Below are 27,058 nucleotides of genomic sequence, written 5' to 3'. Positions count from 1 at the left end.
GTGTTACTGTTCTATACTGGGTTAGTTACAGGATACATTATGAGTTTATACAGCTTCATGGAGTGCCATTGTTCCATTTCTGGAATGCTTCTGAAGTGCCACAGACTGTCATTATTTGGATGGTCCAGGTTAGCAACTCCTCGGCACCGAGCACCTCTATTTTGACTCCTTCTTTGATTTTTTCCTCCCACCAAGTTTACTGAGCATCTATTATGGTCCCAGGTATTGTGCTAAGACTGAGGATACCAGGTTCAAAGATCAGATTTCCAGAACTGGAAAAGATGAGCAAGATGATTAATTCTGGGAGATCCCAGTCTTTTATTAATGAAGACCTACTTTTGACTCTGTTTTTGTTTTTTTTCCCCTATATCTGAGGCTTGTAGAGAAAGGGGCTGTGCTGCTGGAGGCTGAGGCTGACATGCACTCCCTCTGGCTCAGTCCTCACAATTGGGTCGGAGGCAGTAAACTCGTTTGAGACTGACCGGCCAGGCTTCCAAGGTCAGGGAAGCCCCTGCTCCCACGACATTCTTCCCACGAAAACTGGGTGCTACAGAGATTTTAGGGAACTTCCCTAAGATGAAGCCCCAAATATGCAAGCACCAGTGATTCCCTCCATCCAGGAATCTCATCACGATGCTATTGTGATAACATGCTGCCCCTCCCACACCTACTGTCCATCAGAATTCAGTCCTCTTTTCTCTAAACGAAGGCTTTCTGCACAAAAGGTAAAAGAAATCCAACTGTTTGGCCCATTTAAAATCAAGTCACTGAAGTTTCTCTGAGCTCAATCACACTCTTCATCTCTGAGGTTCATCTCTGTTCTTACCACATGATAACGTGAAAAAATAGTTTCTTAAAGAGCTGGCCCCATCATCTCCAGAAATGATGTTAGGGAAGGTCCGTGGAAGGCACAGGCCTGCAGTACTGAAGGCAGAGGCATAACTGCCAACCACAAGTCACTGATTACAATCCAAGAGCACCATTTTCTTCCTTTTATGGGGCATACGACTCTTCCAAACATTGTCCTGCAGATACTTAAGAAAACAAAACAAAGCCCCAAACAAAAACCCGAGCTCCTTACTCCACAAGCGTTGTGACCTCCCGGCTCAGGGCAGCAGCCAGTCGTTCTTGGCTGTGGGAGAGAACCTGGGAGGGCGGCGAAGAGCAGCCAGACATTTTTTCAGCTTGCGTCTTCAGGGGACAGAAACAAGGCATTCTTTCCTTCTGCAAATCCAGGCTAGCAGCTCAGGAAAACAATCACTCCTTTTCCCAGCTGCAGAGATGGCTGGATTGCCTTGGCTGCCTTGCACGTTTCTCCCCTAATCTTCCAGATAAACCATCCCTGGGGTCCCAGGTTTAGCTTCTCGGCAGAGGCCCGTTGTTTTCAGTGAGTGCTAACTGGGAAGGCCCAGGCCAGCTCCCTCCTGCTCTAGTAGAATTATCTGGGTTTAACGGGCTCCCTAGAGCCTCAGTGCTCTTCAGGGGGAGCATTTTACCCCCACCCCCCCCCACACACAACATTTTCTGTGTCTTTTCTCCTAGTTTTAATAGTTGGCCACATGGCTCAGTAACTGTGCCTCTCTCCTCTCTCTCTCTTTCTCTCTCTCTCTCCCTCACTGTTTTCCATTGCATTTTTGCTCTTTTTTGCCAGCTAATGGTAGAAGCTCACCATTGGAGCCTTCATATGCAGTAACTGCTCAGCCTTAACAGACTATTCCCTTCTCTCTTAAATTGATGAAAGACACTTTTTCTCTAATTATTAGAAACAACTAGTGAAATATTTATAGAATATAATAAAATGCACATGAAACAGACTCAACAAGGGATCACGGAAAGATCTAATTTAAAAATCAGCTTAGGATCCAAGTGAGCAATACGCAGTTCCTATCACGGTGGCATAAATGGTTCCTTTGGAGAGTTTTGTGTGATTCCAGAATACTGTTAATCCACACCCCTGGCCTCATTAACCTACAAAGCAACAAGAAAAGGAACTTCAAGCCCTTGGCATCATGCTGTTTACTTTCAATGCATGTTCATTTAGTGAATATATGCTCACTGCATATATTTTAGTGAGTACATATATCTTCACAAGTATCAATGCTCTCTCTATTTTTAACAGTTAAAAAGTGCTTTTCCCAAAGCTGTCCTGAAAAATGTCTTGGGGACACAGACACACACAGCAGAACCTGCTGCAGGGACTTCCCTGGGACAGGCAGACTTCAGATTCTTAGAGCCTCCAGCACTGTGTCAGAGGGCTGCTTGCGGTCAGATGTGGAGCAGGACCTTTTGGATAGCAAGGGTGTGGCTAAGGGGGAACATCAGCCTAAGCCTTCAAAAGCCCCCAGTCTGGACACCATGGGCCATGCTTTGTGAATCCCAAGGCAACCCTCTCTGAGCCTGCCACCAGTACATCCGCCCTCTGACGCTGGTCCAATCTCACTTCCACTGCCCATCAGGAGCTTCCTGCCCATGCTGCTCTGGCTCGAGCCTGGCAACAGCTTCCAGCCTTGGCAGATGCCGCTGGAACGCTTGCTGGGACCATCACTCTGGACTCCACTGCCCATCAGCTGTTGAGCCCTCACTGGCACTTATTAGTTAGGAAAGCCCATTTTAAATCTTACGTTTATGATTCCAAACAGCAGGGTACAGTGTCCTTCACACGAGCCCAGTGGTTTCCAAACTTGGCTGTGATCAGCATCATGCCGGGTGCTTCTAAAACTTCCGGCGCCCATGCCCCATTCCAGAACCGCGGAATCAGAGCGCCAGGACTGCAACTGTCACTGGCCTACAGGCTTACGGATTGAATGCAGTGAGCATATATTATACGTCCTACGTGTACAAAACAGCATCAGCATCCATAGATAAACGCAGTCTGTTTTCCTCATTTCCCCTCATTTCTCCTTGGAACTTTGAAAACTGCATTGCTAACCAGTGCAGTACCCAGAGCAACATTTGGGAACTTCTGATGTAACCTGTATAGGAACTGGTGTGAGTGTCCCGTGAAGGAGCACAGAGGCAACCCAGGCCACGTGGGAATGGATGTTGTCCAGAGGATGCCAGCCCCAGGCTGAATGTGGTGACTCTTCCCATGAACTGCTTCAGAGGGAGCAGAGGAAGAACTGCCTTTGCTGGAGGCTTCCCAGAAGCTGATCAACGAAAGCTTCAGGAATAAGGCCCTGGGGTCAAGGCTCTGTATATAATATGTTCAAACATCCTCGGGAAGGAAGCTCCCAGATGAGCTGCTTGCAGATGAGATGCCACCCCCTGAGGTCCATGTCCTGCCTCCTATATTCCCCAAGCAAAACCCCTGATGCAGATAAAAAGGGACCCCCTTTCCCCAGGAAAGGGAACAACAGTATGTTTAACTCTTTCCTCCACAACATAGTCCTTTACAGATGAAATGAGGCCTACTAGGCCAGGTCGTCGTAAGGATCAGAAAGAAAGCCCAGCCCTGGGCAGCGCGCAGGAGCCCTCCTCCAGCGGCCGCTATTGTTATCCCACCTCCCAGGCCTCTTCTAAGATGCATTTTGTTTTATGGAGCCTATAAAAACCTACTTGTCCAACTTCATTTTGATATTCGCTTCCCATTTTTTTGAATTCATCTATTTTCATGAATAGCACCATTATACTCAACTTTCCGAGTGCAGCGCCATTATGATTCCCTGCGTGTTCATGAAAGATCAGTTATGCTTGAGACAATCAGACAAATTATCAAAGAGAGCCATCAGAATATTTTCCAGGAAAAGAGGAAATGGCCTACTCTCAATTCTCTACTTCAATGTATTAGAGCAGTGGAGAAAATAGTTCAAAATAGCCGAGACTAAAAAAGTTAAAAATCAAAAAACTCCAAGAAGATACATAGAGGCAAATTTTTGCAGTCTTCATTTTCACATATGTCAGCTCTGGGGGGAAAGGTGGGTTAGAAGTAATGAAGTGGCCATCCACAGGAGACTGGATGAGTCTACATTGCCAACAGAAGCCCACGAGAGTCTTCTTTTTGCAAAGCACACTACAGGGGAGCAGACTTCCAGGATCTTGTGGAAACTTTGAACAGTGTGTGCCACAACTATCTGTTTCCCACCCTTGTTTCAAAAACGTGGTGTGAGGATAGTGAAATAGTATATGTGAAGTAGTTTAAACTCCATAGAAGAAAGGCATCTAGTAATTTTGGATCCCAGAATTTTATCTTCTTCAGTTTGAGAGTAAAATGTCACCACCTTGGAGATGGGTGGCCAAGCCTTGTCATGTGATGGGTTTGGATCAGCCAGAGTGGACATCAGGGACAAGAAACTGGAGCTCAGTCACCACTTTGGGCACCAAGGGAGCTGTATTAGTCCATTTTCATGCTGCTGATAAAGACATAAGTGAGACTGGATAATTTATAAAGAAAAAGGGGTTTAAAGGACTCACAGTTCCATGTGGCTGGGGAGGCCTCACAATCATGGCAGAAGGCAAAAGGCACGTCTTACATGGTGGCAGACAAGAGAGAGTGATAACCAAGCAAAAGGGGTTTCCCCTTATTAAACCATCAGATCTCATGAGACTTACTCTACCGCAAGAATAGTATGGGGGAAACCGCCCTCATGATTCAGTTACCTCCCACTGGGTCCCTTTCAAAACATGTGGGAATTATGGGAGCTACAATTCAAGATGAGATTTGAGTGGGGACAGAGCCAAACCACAGCAGGAGCCATGGCTGAAGCATTACAAAGAGAACTCAGGAGTCGCCTGTGTTGGAGACACGGTTGCAGGCAGTGGAGGAGGTCAGCAGACTCCCAACCACAGGATCAATGAACAGGATCCATGAATGTCTGCACCTGAGCCCAGAGGGCCAAGGAGAAGCCCAGGGATGAGAAGTGTGACACAGGCTGGGGGCTCGGCCTCTGCAGAGGGAAGATGCCCAGGGATCAGGGCAGCAGCACAGGTGAGGGACAGAGAGATAGTTGAGGTCACCTGGAGCTGGGCCCCCAGCTCTTTATCTTCCTCCTCCCTGGACTGAAGACGGGCTGCGTGGATCTGACTGTGCTGAATCAGACCGAGGGCTGAAGCAGGCCTGCTCCGGGAGAACGTTCAGCATTTTCCCTGGTCTTTTCTCTTGCACTTCTTTCTACATAACTCGGATTATACTTTCTATACAATTTTGCATCTTTACTTTGTCTTCACATTAAGCATTTCTCCATATTCCTAAATGCTCTGCATAAACAAAGCATTGTTATATACTGGCTGCATAACATTTGTTCTTGGGGAATGGAATTTTCTTGACCTGTCTCACAATATCCTGCATGGAGGCTTTTCCAAGTTTCTTAGACTATAAATCCACACTGTAAGGAGCAAATATGTTCAGCTCATAAACATCTTGAATGAGTGTGCCATGACCACGACAGGTATGAAGGAAATGGAATGTGTTTCTACTTGGGAAGGGAAGCCGCTTCCAAGTGCGAAACCTGGATTTTAGTAGAAATGAGCATGAACACTCTTTCTGGAATGCGGCCATGGGTCTGCTCCCCAGGCAGACGGCTGCTCTGTGGTCTCATCTAAGGGAAGCCTCTGGAACAGAATCCTTAGGGCATCGTGCAGGCACTTCCAACATGCAGATGGTGGTGGTGCTCACAACAGGTTAGATGCGGGCCACATCTGCTGTGCTTGATAAACAAAGGAACGAACAAACAAACCAAGCAGAGTTCCAAAGCTGGGTCAGCCTTTCTGAATGTCAAGAAGGCCGATTTTACTGTCCAACCTAAGGGCATGCGCTATTCAGCCCCAAAGAGAGGCACTGACTGTGCGTCATATTGTACATTTTTTATCAAACGCCTCTGTGTTCAGGCCGTGTCTAGGCACCTGGGGACACAGGCCACACCTGGGTGTGACCCTCGCCCTCAAAGCAAGCATGGTCACTGCCATCCAGCCGAACTCAGCAGGAGCATGGGGCCAGCACCCAAGTCCAGCTCCATGGGCGGTGCCGGCCCCACCATGACCTGACTTTCTAGACTCGGTTTCTTTGTCTGTGAGATGAGGATGACATTAGTTCCTATCTCAGAGGGTTAATCTAAAGGTCACTTGAGGTCATTCGTGTAAAGCACCTTGCCCAGGACCTAGATCGTGATAAGAACTTATCACACAAGGTAAGAGCTCTTATTATTTATAATCATAACTATACAACAAAACAGATGGGACTGCCCAAGGCCCAGAATAAAAGCACACAGAAATATGGCAACGAGTTCAGACTCGCAGAGGCAGTGGCTGTGTCCCGATATGAAAAGTTGTACATTATTGGGGTGTGGGAGCAGGACCACGGTTCGTGAGCGGTCCTCTTCCCATCTCAGGTGCAGTAGGTCGTAGCCAGGGGACACCTCAATCATAACCCATCTTAGGTAAGTTAGAAAATGTTTGGAGAAGAAAAAGTGCTACAAGAAATCGCCCCCATGAAGAGAATTAAAGAAGAGATCAGTGAGGAAAGACAGTGCTCACGGAGCCTGTAGGTACCAGAACACACCTCACAGATAGCAAAGCTGCCTCTGAATGTCACAGCAAACAGCTCAGAGGACCTGGCTTGGACGAAGTAGGCTGGATGTGGGATGGACACTGGGTCCCAGGACATCAGGGCTGCAAGAGGTGTGGGACTCCTAATGTTTTCCAAGAATAGGAAGGTGGAAGCATCTCAGATTTCATTAACAAAGAGTAAGCGGTGGTCCTTCTGTGATGATGAGAGGTACACCTCGAGGCAGGCAGCATTCAAAGAGGTACATTTCTGAGTAACCGGGCCAGTGGCCTTCAGGTGGTCACTACACCCCTGGAGGGGTCATAAGTCAAGGTCAGAAAGTAGGGTGGAGCAGTGCTTTTCTTGGACACTCAGGAATATCTCCTTAGGATGATGGGGCTGACCACATGCACAGCTGCAGCCCTTCACCCTCTGCCCTCTCCAGAAGCAAGCCTGGCTGCCTGCAAGGACCTGGTGGGTTGGGAAGCCTCATGCACCCACTTCTTGCTGACTCAGAGATACAACTTACATAGCTACCATGGGAATTTGGGCTTCTGGAAATAGCACCGTGTGTTCAGATTGTGAAGGACTTTGAGCTCAGCAGTGAGCTTCACCATTGCTGAAAGTAAGCGTGCATTTGAGAATACTGTTGATGCAGAAATATGTGACAAGTCAATTACTAAGGAAACCAGGTACTACTGGAAGGACTCATTGGTCACCTTTCAACACAGAGTTTTTAAGGATGGCAACACATGGTACAAACATAGAAGGGGATTCCTCTATTAAAAGTTAACACAGTAGAAATCTGGATGAATTCATATTTCCGTGGGCCCAACGTTTCTCTCTATCTGCCTGTGCTTGTCTTTTTAGGAACATCATGTACCACCATCAATGTTCAAACTCAAGAGGACAAAAGGAGAGAAGAGGAGGAAAAGTGCTCTAGAAGAAGGTGCTGTGTGTGGGAGCCGTCCTGTCTATCATTGCGACAGGAGAACGAACTTGTGTTGCTGCCACTATCACTTCATCCCTGGTTTACATCCCTCTTGCATTTGAATCTCTGACCGAAACCTAACTAAAGATGAGGAGGACTTGGAAAATTGTTTGCCATGGCCCTTTCCATTCAAAGGTAGTCCAGAAAGCTATTTTGGAGATCCCGCGGTTTTAAATGTGAGCTTGGGTTCTGCAAATAGCCCTTATGTAGGTTTCAATATGCATTTCAAAGCTTTTTGGTGAAGTCTACTTAATGTATACTTGGCTAATAAGCCTTTCTTGACTTAACATTGCTAATATATTCTAGACAGTATAATAAGGTTGAAAAAAGAAAAAAGTATAATGACTAAAAGGATGTAAAACCATCATTATTTGCAGATCACATGATTTTACATACAGAAAACACAACAGAATCTATTGTAAAATTTAGAATTAATGAATGAGCTTGGGAAAACACTAACCATAAAAAATTGATAAATTGGATGACAATAAAACGTAGGCATCAGCTTATTGGACATCATTAAGACAGAAAAGACAGAGTGAAAAAAGGTCTTTGCAACACAGGTAACCAAATGGGCGACTGTATTTAGGATACAAAGAGTTCCCAAGTGGGTATGGAAAATGACACCCAACAGGAAAATGGGCACAAGGCTGGAAGTGGCAGATCACAGAGAGAATAACCAAATGGCCAGTAGATCTATACAAAAGTGCTTGAACTCATTAGGAATCAGAGAAAGGCAAACATTGTGAGAGTAAATACTAGATAGCACATTCTTTTGTTGGTGGTTTTGAGTCGGTGTTTGGAATATTGCCTCCATTCCTCCTACTGCCCTTGGTCTTAGAAACTTGGCTTTGTGGTTGTGAATGATTTGAATCAAGAGCTGCCGGCGGTCTGTGAACACATCACCCTCCCCACCTCCCATGGGCTGTGGGTGCACCTCCTTTCCCACCTCTCAGCACCGTGGAAGTCAGCGGCCCAGTAACGAGGGTCAGGCGTGAGTCTGCATGGGCCAAGGCAGCCACGGCCGGCTGCTCTCCTGGCTCCAGGACTTCATCACTGTTGACGTTAATAAGCCAGAAAAATTAGGATTCGTCCCCTCTTTCCAACAGCCTGGACATCTGAGATGAGTAAAAGGAAAACTACTGCAGAAAAATTATTATGGAGATTTGGGGTAGGTTTTCTATCTCTCAAATAACCCTGTTCTTACCTCCTCTTTTAGGATGATTCTCAAATAATTGGGAACTGTAATATATGACTTTCTCTGTCCTTTGCAATGGCCTGGCACTATCACACGATTTTATTGGCATATTTTAAGACCAGTATAAAATGTTCAAGCTGATTTTTGGAGGATGGTAAGACCATTGTGATCTTTCTAGAAGAAAATTATATCAGTAAATTTCCTTTAAAAAAAAAGCTGCATGGAAAGAAAAAAATATTACTGATCCTAAGAGAATCTGAACACCCAGGGTTTATTTAAACAGCAATTTCATGAGTAGTGATGGCACGGCGAGATCGGGTAGATGGAAGACACACCATAGAGGAATGTGGTGGGGAAGGCTCCCCAGCAGCCTAATAGTCTGATTACCAAACCATTTAGAGAGGAACCACTCAGCCAAAATAGGTCAAAACAGGCAACTCTGCTGGCAGTTACTGCTAGCAAACTCTTCTTAATTGCTGTTTTGGAAACTAATTGCTCTCAGCAAAAAGTATCTAGTAGGAGGTCTTTCATTTAAAGGAGAAGGCCCAAGTCAGCCCTGCTGCATGTAGATACAGCCTGGGAAGGCACCGCAGGCCGCGGGGACCCCATCGTGCCCTGCGGATCGGAGAAGCGTTTCCAAGAGGAGAGGTAGACAGACATCGGACACTTGGAAAAACAAAGATATGCACTCTGCTTTGAACCATAACAGAATCCCAGAAATACTGGCCTGAGGAGGTTTATCCTCTTTTCAGAGTTGCTTAGATGAATTGTGAACAGGCAGATGGGGAGTTTCAATAGACTTCAGGGGATTTGCCCCAATCAGACTGACATTCTGGCTGGGAAGAGCTCTGGAGTTGGGGCTGCCCCCCCGCCTCCACCCCGCGCCTCCCAGCTTCATTCCGACTCGCCACCCACCTACACAATGAAGCCACCGAGTAAAACATCGTGTTACAGCAGTATCTTTCCACACTCGCCCCGAAACCTTACCCCTTCTAATCGCTGACACGTCAGTTGTCTGCTTAGTGACCGTTATAATACCGAAAATTCCTTTATTTAGCTTGCTTGAGATGAAGTCATGCAGCTGTAAGAGTGACTCGCAAAACAAAATCAAGGTCCATTCTCAGTTAAAGGGGCCGTGGAAAGCCTTGAGTCCTTAATGGTAAAACTCATTCTCCGTCTAATTTCATTAGAAAACTGTCACAGTGCTTCCAAATTTTCAGAAGAGTAATTTGTATTTACCAAAAAGCAAAATACACACAGTGTTCATTTGGCAACTTAAAGACATATACTTGAATCTGTCACACTTGGTCTTGTCCTTTAAACAGATGAAAAGTTGGCCTCGTCATATCGTATTTCACTGCACGCACCAACTCACCCTTCACCCTCTGGAATTATGCACTTTGCTGGGTGTGCTGAGCCATCACTGGGCGTTTTTCTCTCCTCCTGCCAGTGCCGTGGTGGTCATAACCTTCCTCTGTCTCTTTCATGGGGTGGTTGAGAATACCAGATGGATGCATCCACCGAAGTACTTCAAACAGAGCCGTGTGGACCTGGAATAATTCGCTTGGGACAAACCCTTTGAGTAAAAGAAAGTCAGGGTTCCAGCACCAGCTCTTCACAAACCAGAGGCCTCAGGCATGTTATTGACTTCCACTGGCATTTTTCCTTTGTCTGTATTTGGTATGACTGCACCTGTGCCCTCTATTTCCAAGGATGCCATGAGGATAAAGTGAGATAACACCTATGAAACTTGGCTTTGACAACCACAAAGAAACCACAACAAATATGTGGCACCCGCAGTGAGGGAAGAGGGTGGGAATGCTCTGTGGTACGGAGGGACCACTAGACGCCTTCCCCTGCAGGGCACGCCCACCTGTGGCTGGCTCTATCTTCCTTCTCCAGCTCCAGAACCACTGCAGCAAGTATGTTTTTTCTTAAAGCGTTGATTCAAGATGATGTTAGTGGGGTGGTGGAGGGTGGTTGCTGCTCTCAGAGGTCTACCGGGAATGTAAGAGTGATTGCAGTGGTGTCTTACATTATTTCAAAATTAGTGTATCTTTGAAAACATTTGCATTAAAAAATCGAATACCCCAAGTATTGAAGTAACAAGCAACTTGCTTAAAGGTCTAAACTTCTCCATTTACTTCTTCATTTTATTCAGATTAGCATGTTTTCTATTTCTGTATCTGATTATGGGCTTTAAACACATTGTGCTAAAATAGAAGAAGAATTTATTTTTCGCCAGAATACAGGACCTCAAAGAAGTATAAAATTTGTTCCATAATGTTGTTCTACAAAGCTCAATGGGTTTTGGACTACTAGAAGGTTCTGTTCATCATTTCCAAAGCAGGCTTTTAAAAACAGTGAGTCATGTAATTTTCTCAAAAAGTGATCTAATATATGAAGTGATTTAGCTAGTGAATTAGATGACAGCATGAGTTTATCAAGACTGCAGTGGACTAGGGCTCCATGGTAGCTTTGGATCCGCTAGGATCTCAGATCTGCTAGGAGACGCTGCTGGGTGACGGAGCCCGCCCGTCTCTCTGGGCGTCATCTCTCTGTCTGCTCTGGGCCCCTGGATCACCTTCACAGCAGTCTGGGCAAGCTGGTCTAGAACGAGCCCTTCAGAGAACAATGTCCTTATCTACCATCCTTACCACCGCACAGTCGTTGAATTAAACGTGCCCAGCAGCCCATTAAGGTAAATGTGTCTGAGCCATCGATTTCTTCTGAAAAGTGCGCTGTTCTATTTTCATATTTCATGAAACCAAGGGATGAGACAGAGAAAGACAGTAAAATGCTCGATGGACACAAATCTCAGCTTGCACCGCATTTGCTTCAGATAGCAGTGAACTTGCCTGCCAGGGGTTGTCTCTTCTCCCATGCCAAGCCAGAGTGGAAAATATTCCTAATTTTATTTAATGGTGGAACAGAAAAAATATCTGAATTGGAAAATTTTGAAAACAGAAACAATGTTTAACTGATTTTTAAACAATCCAACAACTGAGCAAGGAACTCATGGTCCTCCGACAGAGGCTCTTCAGGACGAATTAAACAAATTCGTAATATTTATCAAGAACGTTTGATTTTTGCCCACAAGTAAGTGTCCCAGAAGTTCCTTAAGAAGATTTTTTTCTTAAACAGATTATATTCCTGATCAACTTTTCCAGACTATTAATTTAACTGAAGACTCCTTCTTGCCTACAGTTTACTGCAAAGTCAGAGTGATTAGTCTAGGTTGATGAGGTTTGTGGTGTATGATTTTGAGTTAACAGTTCTATACATCACTTCATCATTTAAAAAACCTTTCATAAAAAAGATTTTAGGAAAATATGATAAAAACTTATTTAGACTTTACTAAGACTATGAGAAATGAATCATTTTGTGTGTGTGACCGAAGAGTTGCAAAGCTGTTTACAGTCACAACTTTGCTTCAAGCGTTAAGTTTTAAAAGATGATGGACAAGTGCTAAGACTTCACCCAGGACAACTGCCTTAACTAATGACGAAAACAGAATTAGCTGGGGTGTGGGCCACAGCAGGGAACTATTTCTCTGGAGCTGTTGGGGGGATTTTAATGCTTCACTGACACCCACAGAATGAATTCCTCTCCTAAAACAACACAAGCTGACTACTTCAAGCTGAATTTCTTTGTTTTCCAACCCAACACCCCACCCCCAATCTCTTCACTATAGAAAGACACACACTTAAAAACCATCTGGGACTATTTAAGAGAATCACTCTAAAGCACATTCAATTGCTTGTCTTTTGATGACAAGAGTCAAATGTAAAATGCAGAGTTATATTTCTGAGACTGACCTGCTGGGACGGCTGGTTGGGTGGTGGAGGTGATATCACAGATTGTGTTTTGGATGGAATCAAATGTGGTCTGTGACGCGAGGAGAAGTTTGTCTGAAATACCCGGAGTGGGTGATTGTGTGTGCTGAGCTCTTGGGGGTTGGTGAGGACCCCCCGGGAAGGGCAGGAAGCAAGCCAGTGGAGGGGTAAACAACCCAACCAGAGTAACTGGGGACGCCCAAATTCCATGGGTGGGGGCCCCCTGGGAATCATAAACCAGGGAGGGAGCAGATGTAAGAGTGTGTGTGCTGGGGACAGGCCAGCCTGGGTTAGCACCTTAGAGTTGGAGCAGGAGGGGTGTGTGTGTGCTGGGGACAGGCTAGCCCAGGTTAGCAACCACAGGGCTGGGGTGGGAGCGGTGTCTGCTGGAGACAGGCAGAGGTATCTGGGTTGTGACTCTGAGTCGCTAATTGAATATTTCTTAAAACTTCTGGGAATAAGAGGAGGGGATACATTAAACAGGCTTATCACGAAGCCAAGCTTATTGTCTATCTTTGATCAGGTCACAAAGTGGTCACGCTCTTGAGCGGGCGGGTGACTGCCATCTGAGACTGTGTGAACTGCTCTGATGTTGGGAACCAACCCACACTCAAGGGAAGGCAGTGCTGTCCACAGGTGGCCGAGCAGAGGGCCAGGTTGACCACCAGGAAATAGATTAGGAATCGGATGGGATGTAGGGGGTTCCACTGGGCACCTCCCAGCAGACCAGGAGTCACTGATGAGGCAGCCAGACAGGCGCGGGGCAGCAGGAAGGGCCCAGCGTGTCCCCTCTGTGTGACCTCGCCCTGAAGGCTGCAGGGCCCAAGAAGGGCCCCAGCATGCTGGGGTGAGTGAAAGCTCAAATGACAGATGTCCTCAAACAGCCTGTTTCCACAATTCCTGGGGCCTGCAATGTGCTAAGGGAAAGAGAGGCTGAAGAGCTATCTCTGTATTGAAACACTTTGGGCAGTACTTGCCAAGACGCCGTGACTCAGGGGAGCAGAAGGCTGGCAGCTGCCACTAGGGAGACAGACAGAGGAGGCTGAGGTTTAGGTGCACGAGGATAGAGAGGAAAGTGCAGGAATTGCACCTTTTGGGTGTTTATTCTATGCCAGACACTGTGGTTAAGTACCTTATGTACACTGTAGAATTTAATTCTACCAGCAACTTGCTGAGGGAGGATTATAAATTCATCTCACAGGGGATGCATTTTCCAATAAAAAAATTCAGATCTCCTCCCAGGTTCCACAGGGACTGATGGAGATGAATTTGAACTCCGAGGTGGAAGCTCCTCACCCCTGGGCGAAGGGCAGGTGCCATCTGGGTTCTGAGCAAATGACTTAAAATGAAATTCGGGGCTGGGCTTGGTGGCTCATGCCCGTAATCCCACTACTTTGGGAGGCCAAGGAGGGAGGATCACTTGAGGTCAGGAGTTCAAGACCAGCCTGGCCAACGTGGCGAAACCCTGTATCTACTAAAAATACCAAAAAATTAGCCCGGCCTGGTGACGCACGCCTGTAGTCCCAGCTACTTGGGAGGCTGAGGCAGGAGAATCGCTTGAACCCAGGAGGTGGAGGTTTCAGTGAGCTGAGATCTCAACACTGCACTCCAGCCTGGGCGACAGAGTGAGACTCCGTCTAAAAAAAAAAAAAAGAAATTCAGGAACAGGACACATTCATAAGGCAGGAAGTGCCTGTTTCTCCTCCTTGACAATGCACAAAGCAAAGTGTAGCTTCCGTGTCCCGAAGGGAAGGGCAGCACCTACCGGGGTAAGCAATCTGAGAAGACAGAAAGGCTGAAGCGACACGGGGATTAGAAGCCTCCAGGAGGAAGCCTCCAGTGATCAGGCAGCCTTAGTTAAGTGTTCAAGCCCAGCGTCCTTTACCTCAGCCACTGATCTTCCAATACGATTTCCCTGGGAGACACTTCTATGATCTATCTGGTTACTTAACCTTTGCTTTTATCTCTAATAGGCGGTTTCTTTCATGGAATTTTCCAAAGGACTCTGTCTGAGAGATGTTTTAACTAGAGCCCATCAATGCATGGCAGACCATCACCAGGGAGAATCAAGTATCACTCCAGGAGAAACAGGGCTGCCTTTAACAACTTAGGGAGGTAACAGGTGGGGAGGAATGTGCTTTTGACTTCATTTCAAAGAGAAAAAAATCTTCGGGTAAACTCTCCACAAAGCATTAGTGTCACTTTCTGTTTCTGATCATTGGTTCTAAATGCTTATTAAAAATGCGTTGATTTCCGATTATTATTATGGACACATGTGGCTTAAACTTTGGTAAAAGGCTGAGCTAAGGTGGATGGTGTAAGAAAGTCCATCTTTGTGGGGACGCAGACGTTTTCATACAGTCAGTTACGATGCCTCTTCTCCCCATCCTCCTTGTGCATGTGAAGGCTGCTTTTGCCATGCTAAGGGTCGAACGTGCTCTCAGGCATGACATGATCCTGGAAGGCTCAGTCCCACACGTCAAAAGATAAAGAGCTTTGTAAATGAGAAATTCCTTAACCCTTCCAAAGAACCAACAGATGAAAATTATCTTTCCCTCACCCAATTCCTAAAGCTGTATCAATCAGCAGGCAAGCGTAGGGTGGTCCTCACCACGTTTTAAAGATTGGCGGGAGATTCCAGGGGCCGGGAGGCCCCACCTACACATTTTTCTATTGCTAGAAAGCAACCACTCAAGGCAGAAACAATCCCGAGGCCAGAAGAGCCCTCCAGAGGCTGTCTTCTAGGACCTGCTGCTCACTGTGGCACCCTGGGCAGCAGCACCACCATCACCTGGGAGCATTAGGAATGCAGAGTCCCAGGAGCCCCAGACCTGCCTGATCCAAATCGGCTGAGTCAAACGTGCATCCGTTCGGGCAGTGCTGCTCCGGCCCATCTCTTCTGACCCCCAGCCAGGACTGGGGCTTCATGTCCAGTATGCTTTCTCATGCATTCAGGCGAAGAGACCTCCCCTCCCCTGTGGACTCAGATCCCTCTCCTTGTGGAAGTGCCTTCTCAGGCAAGCTCCTTCCTCCAGTAGCCTCAATATCAAGAGCCCAGCAGGACAGGTGTCAAGAAGGAGCGAGTCCAGTTATCGCCCACCAGTGGACATTGGTGGATGGTGACCACCACATCCAGGGACTGTGTGATTTTGGCCACCAGACCACCTTCCACATTCTTACCCTTGACGCCCATGAAGCTGAGTTTCTGGGAGTGCCAAGAAGGCCACTGGCCAACCTCTGCCTGCCCTGAAGAAAAGCACAGCTCAGCTCATAGACTGCTCACTGGCCAGATGCCTGGCTTCCCTTTGCATTGAAGCTCAAGAAAAAAAAAAACCATGCTATTAAATTGAAATAGTTTGGCACTCTGTCTTGCAGTTGAAGCATATTTTGCATTAGTTTGACTTTGCAGATAAGCCAATGTCTGTCTACCCAATAATTTTTTCGACTGTAATTCAAATCAAGTGAAACCAATGAGAGAGGAACCTTCAGTTGACCCAAGGTGCACATTTTTGAGGGCCATGCCTTTCGCACTCAGCATAATGATTTGTGTTGTGATTCTGAACAAAAAGTCCCCAAACTACTTAGCTTCGGTCCTGGCCAGGAATCTCGACTTTCCCTCTCTCTTTCCTCCCACCAGCTCTGTCTATTGTGTGGCTTAGACTCCAGCTGCTACAGCAGATGCCCAGCTGGGCGCTGGGGGCAGCGTGCCCATGGCTTGGTCCCTGTCCTCAGGGAGCCACCTGGGGCCTGTGCTTAGATTTGGTGTGGAGGAGGAAGCCCCTTTCCTTTGGAATTTTCTGACTTCAACTCCACCTGCCCTTATTGTATGCAATACTGCAGGTAGCAGGTAGGGGAAGCTGGCACTGGGCATCCTGCATGCTCTGTCTGTCTAGGAGAGGAGCCTGTGGGCTGGCCCCCAGCTTCCCAGACACTCATTCTCTTCAGCTCCAGGTTTTACAGCTGCAGAGACATTATATTTAGCATGACTAACTCAAAAAATATAAAAGCAAACAGCAAGACGGCTGTCCAGCTTCCACAGGGGGGGCCCTCATCCCGATGCCTGACATCATCTCAGGCAAGGAACTGCCTGTGGATGCGCTCCTCCTCCCAGGCATCGGGGCATCACCTGGTTAGAGCTCCCTGACCACAGAGGGTGCAACAGAAATTCCAGAGTCACCAGTGGGCCTCTGATGTCCAGTCATAGGAATCTAAGGCAGTGGGGCAGCAACAGGCCCTTGAACTCTGGGGAATGTAGCTCCCAACCCCTGTGGTATGGACTTCCCATGGACTGACACCTCCCCTCAATCAGCTGCAAGTTTTCATAGAATCAGTGGATCCCTATCTTTGTCTACTTGCTCCTCCTAGACTGTGCAACAGTGCCCAGGCTGGGTTGGTTGTAACAGCTGGTATTGGGGGTCATGCCAAAGCCTTCAAAATGTAAAAAGGAGATGGCAACACGCCCTTTGTTAGCCTCCTCTGGGCATCCGCCCTCCCGCTCCAGCTGACCTGACTCGGGCGGCCTCAGTAGCCTCTGATCATGCTGCCAGCTGCGCCTGCAGAGAAACCTTAACTATCTTAGGGTCCCCGTGGAAGAGTTAAATAACACACTGATTTAATAAAATTACTCCAGCATCTATGTGAAGGTCCTGTGCTGTGGGAGGACCTGGTGATGAATAAACCAAGTTCCCAGCCCTTAGCAACCTGAAGTCTAGCAGGGAAGAAGGGCAGTGACCAGAGGTGGACATCGGCTCCCTGTCTCCACTCTCCATCTTCTGACCCCAGTACCACAGGAAGAGGGGAGGCTGGTGACCGTCAGTTTGGTGAAGCCATGGGGAAGATCTAGGCCTGCACCCGATCACAGCCTCCTCTCACAGCCCCTCCCGGGGTTCCCCATATGTCTTCTCCCCTTGTCTTGACGCGTCCATCCCCTGTCCTCCTCCTGAGGAATCTCACGCAGTTCTGGGGCTTCAGGAACTGCTCCAGGAGAACTGCTTTAGGTCTGGTGCCTGCACCTGTGTGGGCAACCCAGACCTCGCTCACTGGCTTCCCACCCAGACACCCGGTTCCCTCCTGGACAGCTTCCCATGCCTGTCCCAGAGGAAACCAACTCAGTGCGGCCCAAGCCAACCTCCTTCGGGAGAGTGGTGAACGTTTACCAGAAAGCAAAACAAACATCAAGAACAGAGGCACGGGCAGGCCGCCTCCGAGAGACAGGCAGGCAGGCCAGCCCCAGGCTTCCTTGCCCCCTGCTCCTTCATCTGGAGCTGGGTCTCACATCGCCATTTCCTAAACCTCTCTGATTTGCAATACCTGACATTAACCATTTGAAACCTGTCAACCAAAGAAACAAAACTGAGTTTAAAAATAAGAACTTTAAAAAGCATAGCACTGTTACTGGGGCTTAAAAAGGAAGGAAATTCTGCCACTCACTACAACATGGATGCATCTTCAGGACTGATATGGTTTGGCTCTGTGTCCCCACCTAAATCTCACCTTGAATTGTAATCATCCCCACATGTCAAGGGTGGGGCCAGGTGGAGCTAACTGAATTATGGGGATGGTTTCCCCCATACTGTTCTCATGATAGTGAGTTCTCCTGAGATCTAGTTTTATAAGCATCTGACATTTCCCCTGCTGGTACATTCTCTCTTTGCCTGCTGCCATCCATGTAAGACGTGACTTGCTCCTCCTTGCCTTCTGCCATGATTGTGAGGTTTCTCCAGCCACGTGGAAATGTAAGTTGATTAAACCTCTTTCTTTTGTAAATTGCCCAGTCTTGGTTATGTCTTTATCAGTAGCATGAACATGGACTAATACAAGGACATTATACTAAACGAAGTAAGCCAGTCACAAAAGGACAAACACTGCCTGATTCCACTTCTGTGAGGTCCCTAGAGTAGTCACACTCAAAGTGACAGAAAGTAGAATAGATTAACAGAGGGTGGGGGAAGGATGGGATGCAGAGGTATTTAATGCACATGGAATTTCTGTTTAGGATGATGAGCAAGTTCTGGAGACGGACAATGGTGACAGTTGCACAAAAATGTGATATGTTTAATGCCACTGAACTGTCATTTAAACATGGGTACAATGGTAAATTTTATGTTACATATATTTTACCACAATTTAAAACAATGAAAAAAATATTAAAAATGGACACAGGTTTGCATTATGTGTATATATATATGTACACTCTCTATGTGTGTGTGTGTGTGTATATATATATATATATACACACAGACACATACACACACACACACACATGCACACTATATAAATACGCACATATATGAGACCTGATGTGACATTAGTAAGATTATCTTCAGATGGTTAGTTTATCAACACTGTGTTTGTAAGGTAGGTGCTATATTGATAATGTGCCAAGATTTTATTTTTTATTACAGGAAAGTTACCTAGTTTTTAAACACATGAAATATTTAGAAAGAATAAAGATCTAAGGTAATTTTTTTAAATGTGAAAGACTAAGAAAAGCCCATGAAACAGGCCTTTTTTCTATGTTTATTCTTAGACACTCTAGTTAATTAAACCCAATGAGGAAGAAAAATCAACATGAAGGCAAAAATGTTGCCTGAATCAACAGTTGTAGCCTTTTGTTCTCTCTCACTGATGAGCTAGAAGTGTTGAAAGAAGAGATGTTTTTGAAAGGTGCTATAAAAAGGAGAAAAAGGCAACTTTTAAAACGGATGAATTCTATCTACCTATGATCTTTCCTTTTAAATACACTTATTTTCTTTGAGACGCTGCTCTGTTTTGATATAAAAAGAAGCAGATGGCCTCAGAGTTAGACTTTGTTCAGAGGGAACTAAACTTTCCAGTTATTTGAAATATCTATCGGTGTCATCCCATTCCTTGTTCTGGAACTTCTAGGCAGGATTCAGTACTATTCTTAATTGCTTTTACTTCTTAAGTAAAGAATTCTTGGATTAAAAAAAAATCAAGCACCAGCATGACTAATCTGACTTCCTTCCCCCTCCTGAGTGAAATAACTCATTTGTTTCTAGACCATTAAATTCCAATCAGGTGAGAAGCAGATAACAAATCACTCTTGTTGGAGAGCAGAGAAATCGCCCAGAAATCACAGCACTGGGAGTCCAGGGGAGGTGCCAGTGGCACCCACGCGGCAGGGGGTCGCCGTAGGGGGCCAATGACTGGGTCACCCAGTGCCCGGAGGTGACCTGGCAGTGCCACCCGCCAGCCCCGCCTAGCCACCTTATGTAATGGGTTAGGACTGTTCCTGGGTTGTGCGGCTGCGCCTGGCAAAAGGAGAGCCCAGTATGCGAGAACCAGAACCTTCGGGTGGACAGAGACACATTCACAAAAGCCAAGGCAGACAGCTGAAAACTCACTGTGCGGTGTGCCTTAACTAGAAATGCGTTGACTTTTCCAACCTCTGGCGCCTTGATGTGGGTAACCACCACAAAACCTGATGTCTGCACTTACCGGCAGGAAATTGACATATCACTGAAGATACACAATTTTGGCCTACTTGCTGTTAAGATTCCTTGTTTTACAACAGGAAGGAGGAGGCCGGACAATAAGAGCTGATGACTAAGACTAAGGAAATCCTGTCTGAGCTAAGACTGTCTTGGGAGGAGAAGGGAAGAGGGCGCTGAAATCTGGCGGGAACAGCTAGGAAAGGAAGGTGGATTTCAGACAGGACAGGAGATCACCTCAGGTCCCTACTTGGTCTTGAATTGTAACTTGGATGCTTGTTACAATTAGGACAACTACCAAATAAGGAAGAAAGGGAAGGAGGTGAGGTTCTTCCCTGAAATTTCCAGCGGGAATCTTCCTCAGGGAACCCACGTCTTGGCCTGACTCACCTGGCTGTTGGAGGGTACGGGCTAGTCTGGGAGGCCTTTCCATGCTAATCTGAGAAGTAGTTGCGCTGCTAGGAAATGGTATGGAGGGAATCTTTCTGCTCTCTCAAGAAGGAAACTCTCTCCTAAGATTCTGTTCTGCATTTTTATGTCATGTTGCCAAACCAAAGCCTCTTGAGTTTTCTTGCTTTGCTAAATTATACTTGCATCTCATGGTTATTTGAACAAATTGTTCTTTGTTTATAAGTGTTTCCATTTGTTCTGGAAATAAGTTAGTTACACCTTGACTGAAATTTAATTAATATTAAAATGTTTCCTTTGGGTGACATTTCCTAAACTTAAGGAAAATGGAAATAACCGTCTCAAGGCATCAGGAAGGCGCATCTCCACCAGTTCTCACTCAGCGGCCATCTGCTCAGAGCCACCAGGGTCTCAGCACTCCAGGCACCAGAATCGTGAAGACTAAAACCTCCCCCCACAGGCCCCCGCACCCACCAGTCCTGCTGACCCACTTCCTCCTGTCCCAGTACCATGGCTAAGGTAACTCTAGGCTAAGATGACTGCACTCAGGAGAGGCCCTTCAAGGATGACCAAGAAATACGTGAGAATGGGCAAAGGGACAATTTCACCTGCAGAACCGAGAATCCTGCAGACACAACCCCCAACCTGCCCATAATGAAATATGGAATATTTCATTATTTCATACTGTTAACTAGAGTTAACAATAACTCTAGTTAACTTGAACTTCACTCTCTGTGGCTTCAAGTTCTTTAGGTATTGAGGATGAAGACCTAAAAAACAACAACCTAAAGCCAGGTAGATGTGAACTAGTGTTGATCAAGCACCGCAATGCTAAGATTGCTAAACTCTCTACAGCCAATTTCTTCTTGCTCCTCTGGGCACGTGCATAAGGTAAGAACTATTTTAACCCAGTTTTAGAAATGTAACTACAGTGTAAAGAGTTGAATACTCGCACCAACATCACCTGGCTGGGCAGCAGCAACAGCAGTTTCGAACCCAAGACCCCAGCTGGCCCTATTTCTGTGGGGCCCATGCCTGAGTCCTGACATTTCCTGTGAGCAGGGTGAGTGGGGGCTCTTATAGGTGCTTGCTGATGAGTACAACTGCATACAAAATCAATCGTACTGAACGTCTCATATAGAACAAATAAAGTGGCTCTCAAATAGTGAACGTCTGCAGGTTGCTTTCTTACCATGAATAATCCTAGATGACATATTTAAAGTAAAGTTGGGTCAGATATTTGGACAACCCAAACCATACCCGCGCGCACACACACACTGATCAGACTTCACGGTTCCTTGCTTGTCCTTGCTCTGACCCAGACACGAGTCCATGGTGTTCTAGAACTCGTGAGTGAATTATTCCTAGCAGCATCAGACATGTTCATTTAATGAACGAATGTCACATACATGAGACCCTGGGACATAGTTTTCAGTATTCCCGTTTACAGATGAAGACAAGCATTCTCAGAAAGGAAAAGTGACTTTTCCCAGTCGCTGGGCTCAAGCCCACAGGCTCCACTTCTTTTTAACAGACCACACCTATCCTCCTGTTGGCGCATGGGGACTTCCATGAAAAACAGCAGCACAAACACGGGGCGGTGAGAGAAGACCCAGCGTAAGGAAGCTGGCATTGGTCCAGGGAAAATGGAATCCCCTGTCTCTCTGTAGTGCCCACTGGGTTTCCTGTACGTCTAAGATAATTTTGGGAAGGTCTCTTTTGCCCATAGCGTTTCAGTAAGTCTTTCTCTAAATTAGGACTAGCAGAATTTTCCAACAGCCAAACATAAAGCCGTGTTTGCCCCTCCTTTTCCCCTTTACATAGCTGCAGCAGCATTTACCCCAGTGGCCCGGAGTTTCAAGCCAGACTTGGAGAGGGCCGGTTGGGGGTTGTGTCTGCAGGACTCTTGGTTCTGCAGGTGAAATTGTCCCTTTGCCCATTCTCATGTATTTCTTGGTCATCCTTTAAGGGCCTCTCCTGAGTGCAGTCATCTTAGCCTTTACTTTTCAGAGTTCATGAGGCTACTCAGTCACCCTCCCGCCTCTGTCCAGCCTCTCTGCAGAAGGGACCCTAAAGAAACAGGTCTGTTTGATGCTCCCCAGAGGCAGGTATAGTCTTTTTCTGCCTTGGCTGCTCCCATGAAGAAAGAAACCAGGAGCGTCCTCCGGCTAAGTGTGTGTGTGTGTACACGCATGAGCATGTGTGTTTATGTGTGTGTACATGTGTTTCTGTGTGTGTGTGGGTGCAAGTGTGTGTCTCTGTGTATTTGCATCTATGTGTATGTGCGTGTGTGTGTGCATCTGTGTGTATGTGTGAGTGTGGTGCAAGTGTGTCTATATGTACATGTGTGTGTCTGTGTGTGTGGGGTGCACGTGTGTGTCTATGTGTGCATCTCTGTGTCTATGTGCATGTGTGTGTGCATCTGTGTGTCTGTATGTGTGTGTGGGGTGCAAGTGTGTCTATATGTGCATGTGTGTGTCTGTATGTGTGTGCTGGGTGCATGTGTGTGTCTACGTGTGCCTGTGTGTCTATGTGCATGCATGTATGTGTGCATCTGTGTGTCTGTGTGTGTGTGAGTACAGGGTGCATATGTATGTGTGTGTTCTCTCTCTCTTTTATCTCTATCATCTATGTCTGTATATTCCATGTAGATTGATAACATATTTTCTACATATAATATACATATCTATGTTTTACATGTACCACAATTTCTGTATTTTGACGTGTATATATATTCTGTGGCTGGGGCTTATTCACCTAGCCAGTGGTTAAGAGCAGAGGTTTTAGAATCGGCAAGTTCTAGGTTTCACTCCCCACTTTGTTCCTATTGACCTACCAGGTGCCTTCCTGCACATGCCTCAGTTTACCCATCTGTGAACCATCCGTGGCTTAGAGCAGTTTGCAGCACCAGTGGCTCAGCAAACAGGATTTGCTATGTTTCTTCGCAGGGTGTTTTAGCTGCTCCGAGAGGTTCTGGAATGCTGGAAGCATCTTCAGGATGCTCTCTTAGGTTTGGTTCTGGTGATCCCACAAAGAATCTCCCAGGGGACCTCTTCCTTTCACCTAATCTGGAGCCAGTGTCACTGGAAGGCGGGGAGGACAGAGCGGGAAGGAGGGCCGGGCTGGTGGCTCCAGGGCCTGCATCGCTGCGATGCTCCTTCCCGACACAGTTTGCAATGATTGCATCACGGCTGCCAATCGGCATCTCCTTTCTCTCGTGGACAAACCATGGCTTTTGATGCAGTCCAGGGCACGTGTGTCTGACCCTGTGCACCAACAGAAGCCCTTTTCCTGGATCTCACAGGGTCCCATTACTCCACAGTCAGGGATCCAAAAACACTCAACATGTGGAAAAATATTGTTATATAATATTTACCACCAGGTACCAGATAATCAGTCCATGAAATTCAAAAACACACATTCTTCTCTAATTCCCACATGAGAGATCACTGAACTGGGTAAAAGCAACAAAACAGGAATTCTATGGGTGGGGTTGAAACAATCCCTAGGAAAAAATGCAAATCTTTCAGACTGATCCATGATTCCTTTATCATCATATACGGCTAGTTTTATCCAGTGGGAGAAAGCAGATAATTTGGGAAAAAAAAACCCACAGTAAGAATAAATACATTTTAATCTCCTCTTTTATTAATAGTTCCATGACTGTACTCCTCATCCAAAGGATCTGCTTGCATTGCTGCCAACTAACTGCAATCATTTATGTAACAAGCTCTGTTGAGGGCCCACTGTATTTCAGGCCTCGGGCAGATAAAGGTACCCATGAATCATTCCATGAGGGCCGATGCAAGATGCCCTGAACTTGGACTGTGGGAACAGCAATGTCAGCTAAAGAAGACATGTTACTGGGAGAAAAAGTGGATGATGGCAGGGCGTGGTGGCTCATGCCTGTAATCCCAGCACTTTGGGAGGCTGAGGTAGGCGGATCACCTGAGATCAGGAGTTTGAAACCAGCCTGGCCAACATGGTGAAACCCTGTCTCTACTAAAAATACGTAAGTTAGCTGAGAATGGTGACTCGTGCCTGTAATCCCAGCTACTTGGGAGGCTGAGGCAGGAGAATCACTTGAACTCAGGAGGCAGAGGTTGCAGGGAGCCAAGATCACGCCACTGCACTCCAGCCTGGGTGACAGAGTGAGACTCCACCTCTAAAACAAAAACGAAAACAAACAAACAAAAAAAGTGGATGATGGGTGAAGACAAATGTTTCAAGTCTATAGAGCTACAATCATGACTTATAATCCTCGATCCTAAAGAATTTAAAATCCTATCAGTGGAGAAGACACTTTAGCTAGACCCTGAAATGGGCCTCAGTTGCAAAGGACAGAGGCTCCAGCCATGTGCAGGTGTGTGATACCTGCTGCGGGTCACCTGATAGAAAGGGACAGGCCATCCTTATCCCCCCGGGGCTAAGGCCTGGAGTGCAGACAGGGTGTGCAGAGCAGAACTGGCAGGGGCCGGGCAGAGGCGGCTCTGCTCATGCTTCTCATTTCCAGTTATCAATGGCAGGGTGATGACAGGCAACTGTGCAAGGCAACAGCCACTGGCCATCCTGGCTCCAGGCCCCTTTCCCTTGGCCCCTAACTAACACAGAAGCTGAGGCCACTGAGAGGCTGGGACTCTGAATCCCACTGCCATGGCCTGTCCCTTTCTATCAGGTGACCCACGTGTGCAGGAGGCCTAAGTCCTCCACCAGCCACCAGCCACCTGCCACCTGCCCGTCCCTGTGGCCCATGGGGTTTCCTAGGCAGGCGGGAAGGGGGCTCCCATTCTGTGCAGCCCAGGAGGGCACGAGGGTACTGCCTGATGCGTTCCTAGGGGTGAGCGCGTATGGGCAGCACCGGGCTCCTCCACTGTCAGTTTTCTGTCCTTGCAGCGACACTGTGATACAAGCCTGCCCTTCCATCTTGGGCTCAGGAAACAACGGAGCGGCCACTTCCCTCCCCAGCGAAGAAGAGGCCCCATGACAGCTCCACCGGGCCTCCCATGTGGTGCTGCAGAAACTCCACAGGGAAACCTCCCCGTCTTCACAAATGACTCCACCCACGGCCAGGGGACAAAAATCCTTTTACTCAGGCTTCGCTTGGGTCTACCTCTGCTGTATTTTCCACTAAGTGGAAGAGACTTCTGTTCACTTACTCTATGAGAGAAAAGAATGGGAGCAACATTTCCCTCTTGCTGCCCACATCTGCTCATTCGAGACTGGCTGCTTTCAGCCTTCTCCATGCACTTGTCCATCTGACCCATGCACACCAAATGTGACTGGCTGCTGACTCCTGGGAGCATTTTAAAATTCTGAAGCAATTGAGATTTGCAGAAGAGTTGCAGAGATAGTACAGAGAGTCCCTGTATACCCTTCACCCAGACATCATGATGTCATATTGACATTTTATAAAACTATGGCACATTTCTGTGAAAACTAAGAAATCAACATTGGTACAGAAATCAACATTATCACATTGAACTGCAGCCTCCGCTAGAATCTCACCAGTTTTTCCACTAGTGCAGCTTTTCTGTCCCAGGACCCGCCCCAGGATACCAGGCTGCACTTCAAAGGAGCCGGTTTTACAAAAAAGCATGTTGCTTCAAAAGGCAGCTTCATCCAAGGCAACAGAAGACAGTGAAGCAGAGTACTCAGGAGCCAGCCAGGAGCTCAGGAGACAGGGGAGGGGCTGGAACCCAGCACCGAGGTAGGAGCCTGCCGGGTGGACGCGGGGCACCGGGGTGGGAGCCTGCCGGGTGGACACGGGGCACTGGGGTGGGAGCCTGCCGGGTGGACGCGGGGCACCGGGGTGGGAGCCTGCCGGGTGGACACGGGGCACTGGGGTGGGAGCCTGCTGGGTGGACGCGGGGCACCGGGGTGGGAGCCTGCCGGGTGGACACGGGGCACTGGGGTGGGAGCCTGCCGGGTGGACGCGGGGCACCGGGGTGGGAGCCTGCCGGGTGGACACGGGGCACTGGGGTGGGAGCCTGCCGGGTGGACACGGGGCACTGGGGTGGGAGCCTGCCGGGTGGACGCGGGGCACCGGGGTGGGAGCCTGCCGGGTGGACGCGGGGCACCGGGGTGGGAGCCTGCCGGGTGGACGCGGGGCACCGGGGTGGGAGCCTGCCGGGTGGACGCCGGCTGCTCGCACGTCCTTTGAAATTCACTCTCTGGCCACATCAACAGGACTGGAGACACCTGTGAAGTCTCCCTAGAATTAGATGCCGCCTTCTCCTTTCAGGGGTAACCAAAATAAAAATTACCGTCCTCCGGAGCCACCAATGAAATCAAGAGCAGTGAGTCACTTAGGCCGTCACCTGTCCTGACAGGGTCTCATTAACTGAAGGGAGTGGGCACCAGAGGGAAACAGCAAGAGGGGACTATCCAGGAACTCTGCCCTTTTCCTCATCTCAACTGAGAAATGTCACATATTTACTGGATTCCAGAAGCTTCTCGACACCGTGAAGATAAAAAGTCCCATGTGGCATATTGATTTCTAAGCGATATCCTGGTGCAGGCTGGATAGATTCTATTCTGGAGCTTATCTGGAAGGGCTTTCTCATCCCCAGCATCACAGCGGAGACCCCGGCTCACCCTCACAGGTCTTAGCACACCTGCACAGGCCAGCCCTCACTGCTGACCTCTAACTTACTCATGGTATGTTGATCACCTGAGAGATCCATTCCACACAAC

The 27,058-nt window shown here is 47.4% G+C and overlaps 1 protein-coding gene across 1 annotated transcript in view, besides 5 other annotated features; it reads right to left on the bottom strand.

Moving 5' to 3' along the window:
- Window positions 1–27,058, bottom strand: part of COL4A2 (collagen type IV alpha 2 chain) — a 205,926-nt gene that overhangs the window by 173,265 nt on the left and 5,603 nt on the right. The gene's annotated exons all lie outside the window — the stretch shown is intronic.
- Window positions 1,286–1,787: an enhancer, noted in NCBI's record as "H3K27ac hESC enhancer chr13:110990505-110991006 (GRCh37/hg19 assembly coordinates)". NCBI's record gives its function as "activates a minimal SCP1, AML or CMV promoter by ChIP-STARR-seq in naive H9 embryonic stem cells {active_cell/tissue: H9 hESC(naive)}" and the evidence as "EXISTENCE:reporter gene assay evidence [ECO:0000049][PMID:30033119]".
- Window positions 12,159–12,927: an enhancer, noted in NCBI's record as "NANOG-H3K27ac-H3K4me1 hESC enhancer chr13:110979365-110980133 (GRCh37/hg19 assembly coordinates)". NCBI's record gives its function as "activates a minimal SCP1, AML or CMV promoter by ChIP-STARR-seq in primed H9 embryonic stem cells {active_cell/tissue: H9 hESC(primed)}" and the evidence as "EXISTENCE:reporter gene assay evidence [ECO:0000049][PMID:30033119]".
- Window positions 19,102–20,301: an enhancer, noted in NCBI's record as "BRD4-independent group 4 enhancer chr13:110971991-110973190 (GRCh37/hg19 assembly coordinates)". NCBI's record gives its function as "activates an origin of replication core promoter dependent on BRD2, P300/CBP, MED14 and CDK7 cofactors, and independent of BRD4, by STARR-seq in HCT116 cells {active_cell/tissue: HCT116}" and the evidence as "EXISTENCE:reporter gene assay evidence [ECO:0000049][PMID:35650434]".
- Window positions 19,174–19,703: an enhancer, noted in NCBI's record as "H3K27ac-H3K4me1 hESC enhancer chr13:110972589-110973118 (GRCh37/hg19 assembly coordinates)". NCBI's record gives its function as "activates a minimal SCP1, AML or CMV promoter by ChIP-STARR-seq in primed H9 embryonic stem cells {active_cell/tissue: H9 hESC(primed)}" and the evidence as "EXISTENCE:reporter gene assay evidence [ECO:0000049][PMID:30033119]".
- Window positions 19,704–20,235: an enhancer, noted in NCBI's record as "H3K27ac-H3K4me1 hESC enhancer chr13:110972057-110972588 (GRCh37/hg19 assembly coordinates)". NCBI's record gives its function as "activates a minimal SCP1, AML or CMV promoter by ChIP-STARR-seq in primed H9 embryonic stem cells {active_cell/tissue: H9 hESC(primed)}" and the evidence as "EXISTENCE:reporter gene assay evidence [ECO:0000049][PMID:30033119]".

This window comes from Homo sapiens, chromosome 13 (genome assembly GCF_000001405.40).
Source record: "Homo sapiens chromosome 13, GRCh38.p14 Primary Assembly".
Lineage (NCBI taxonomy): Eukaryota > Metazoa > Chordata > Mammalia > Primates > Hominidae > Homo > Homo sapiens.
This window is presented reverse-complemented; position numbering and strand designations above follow the sequence as displayed.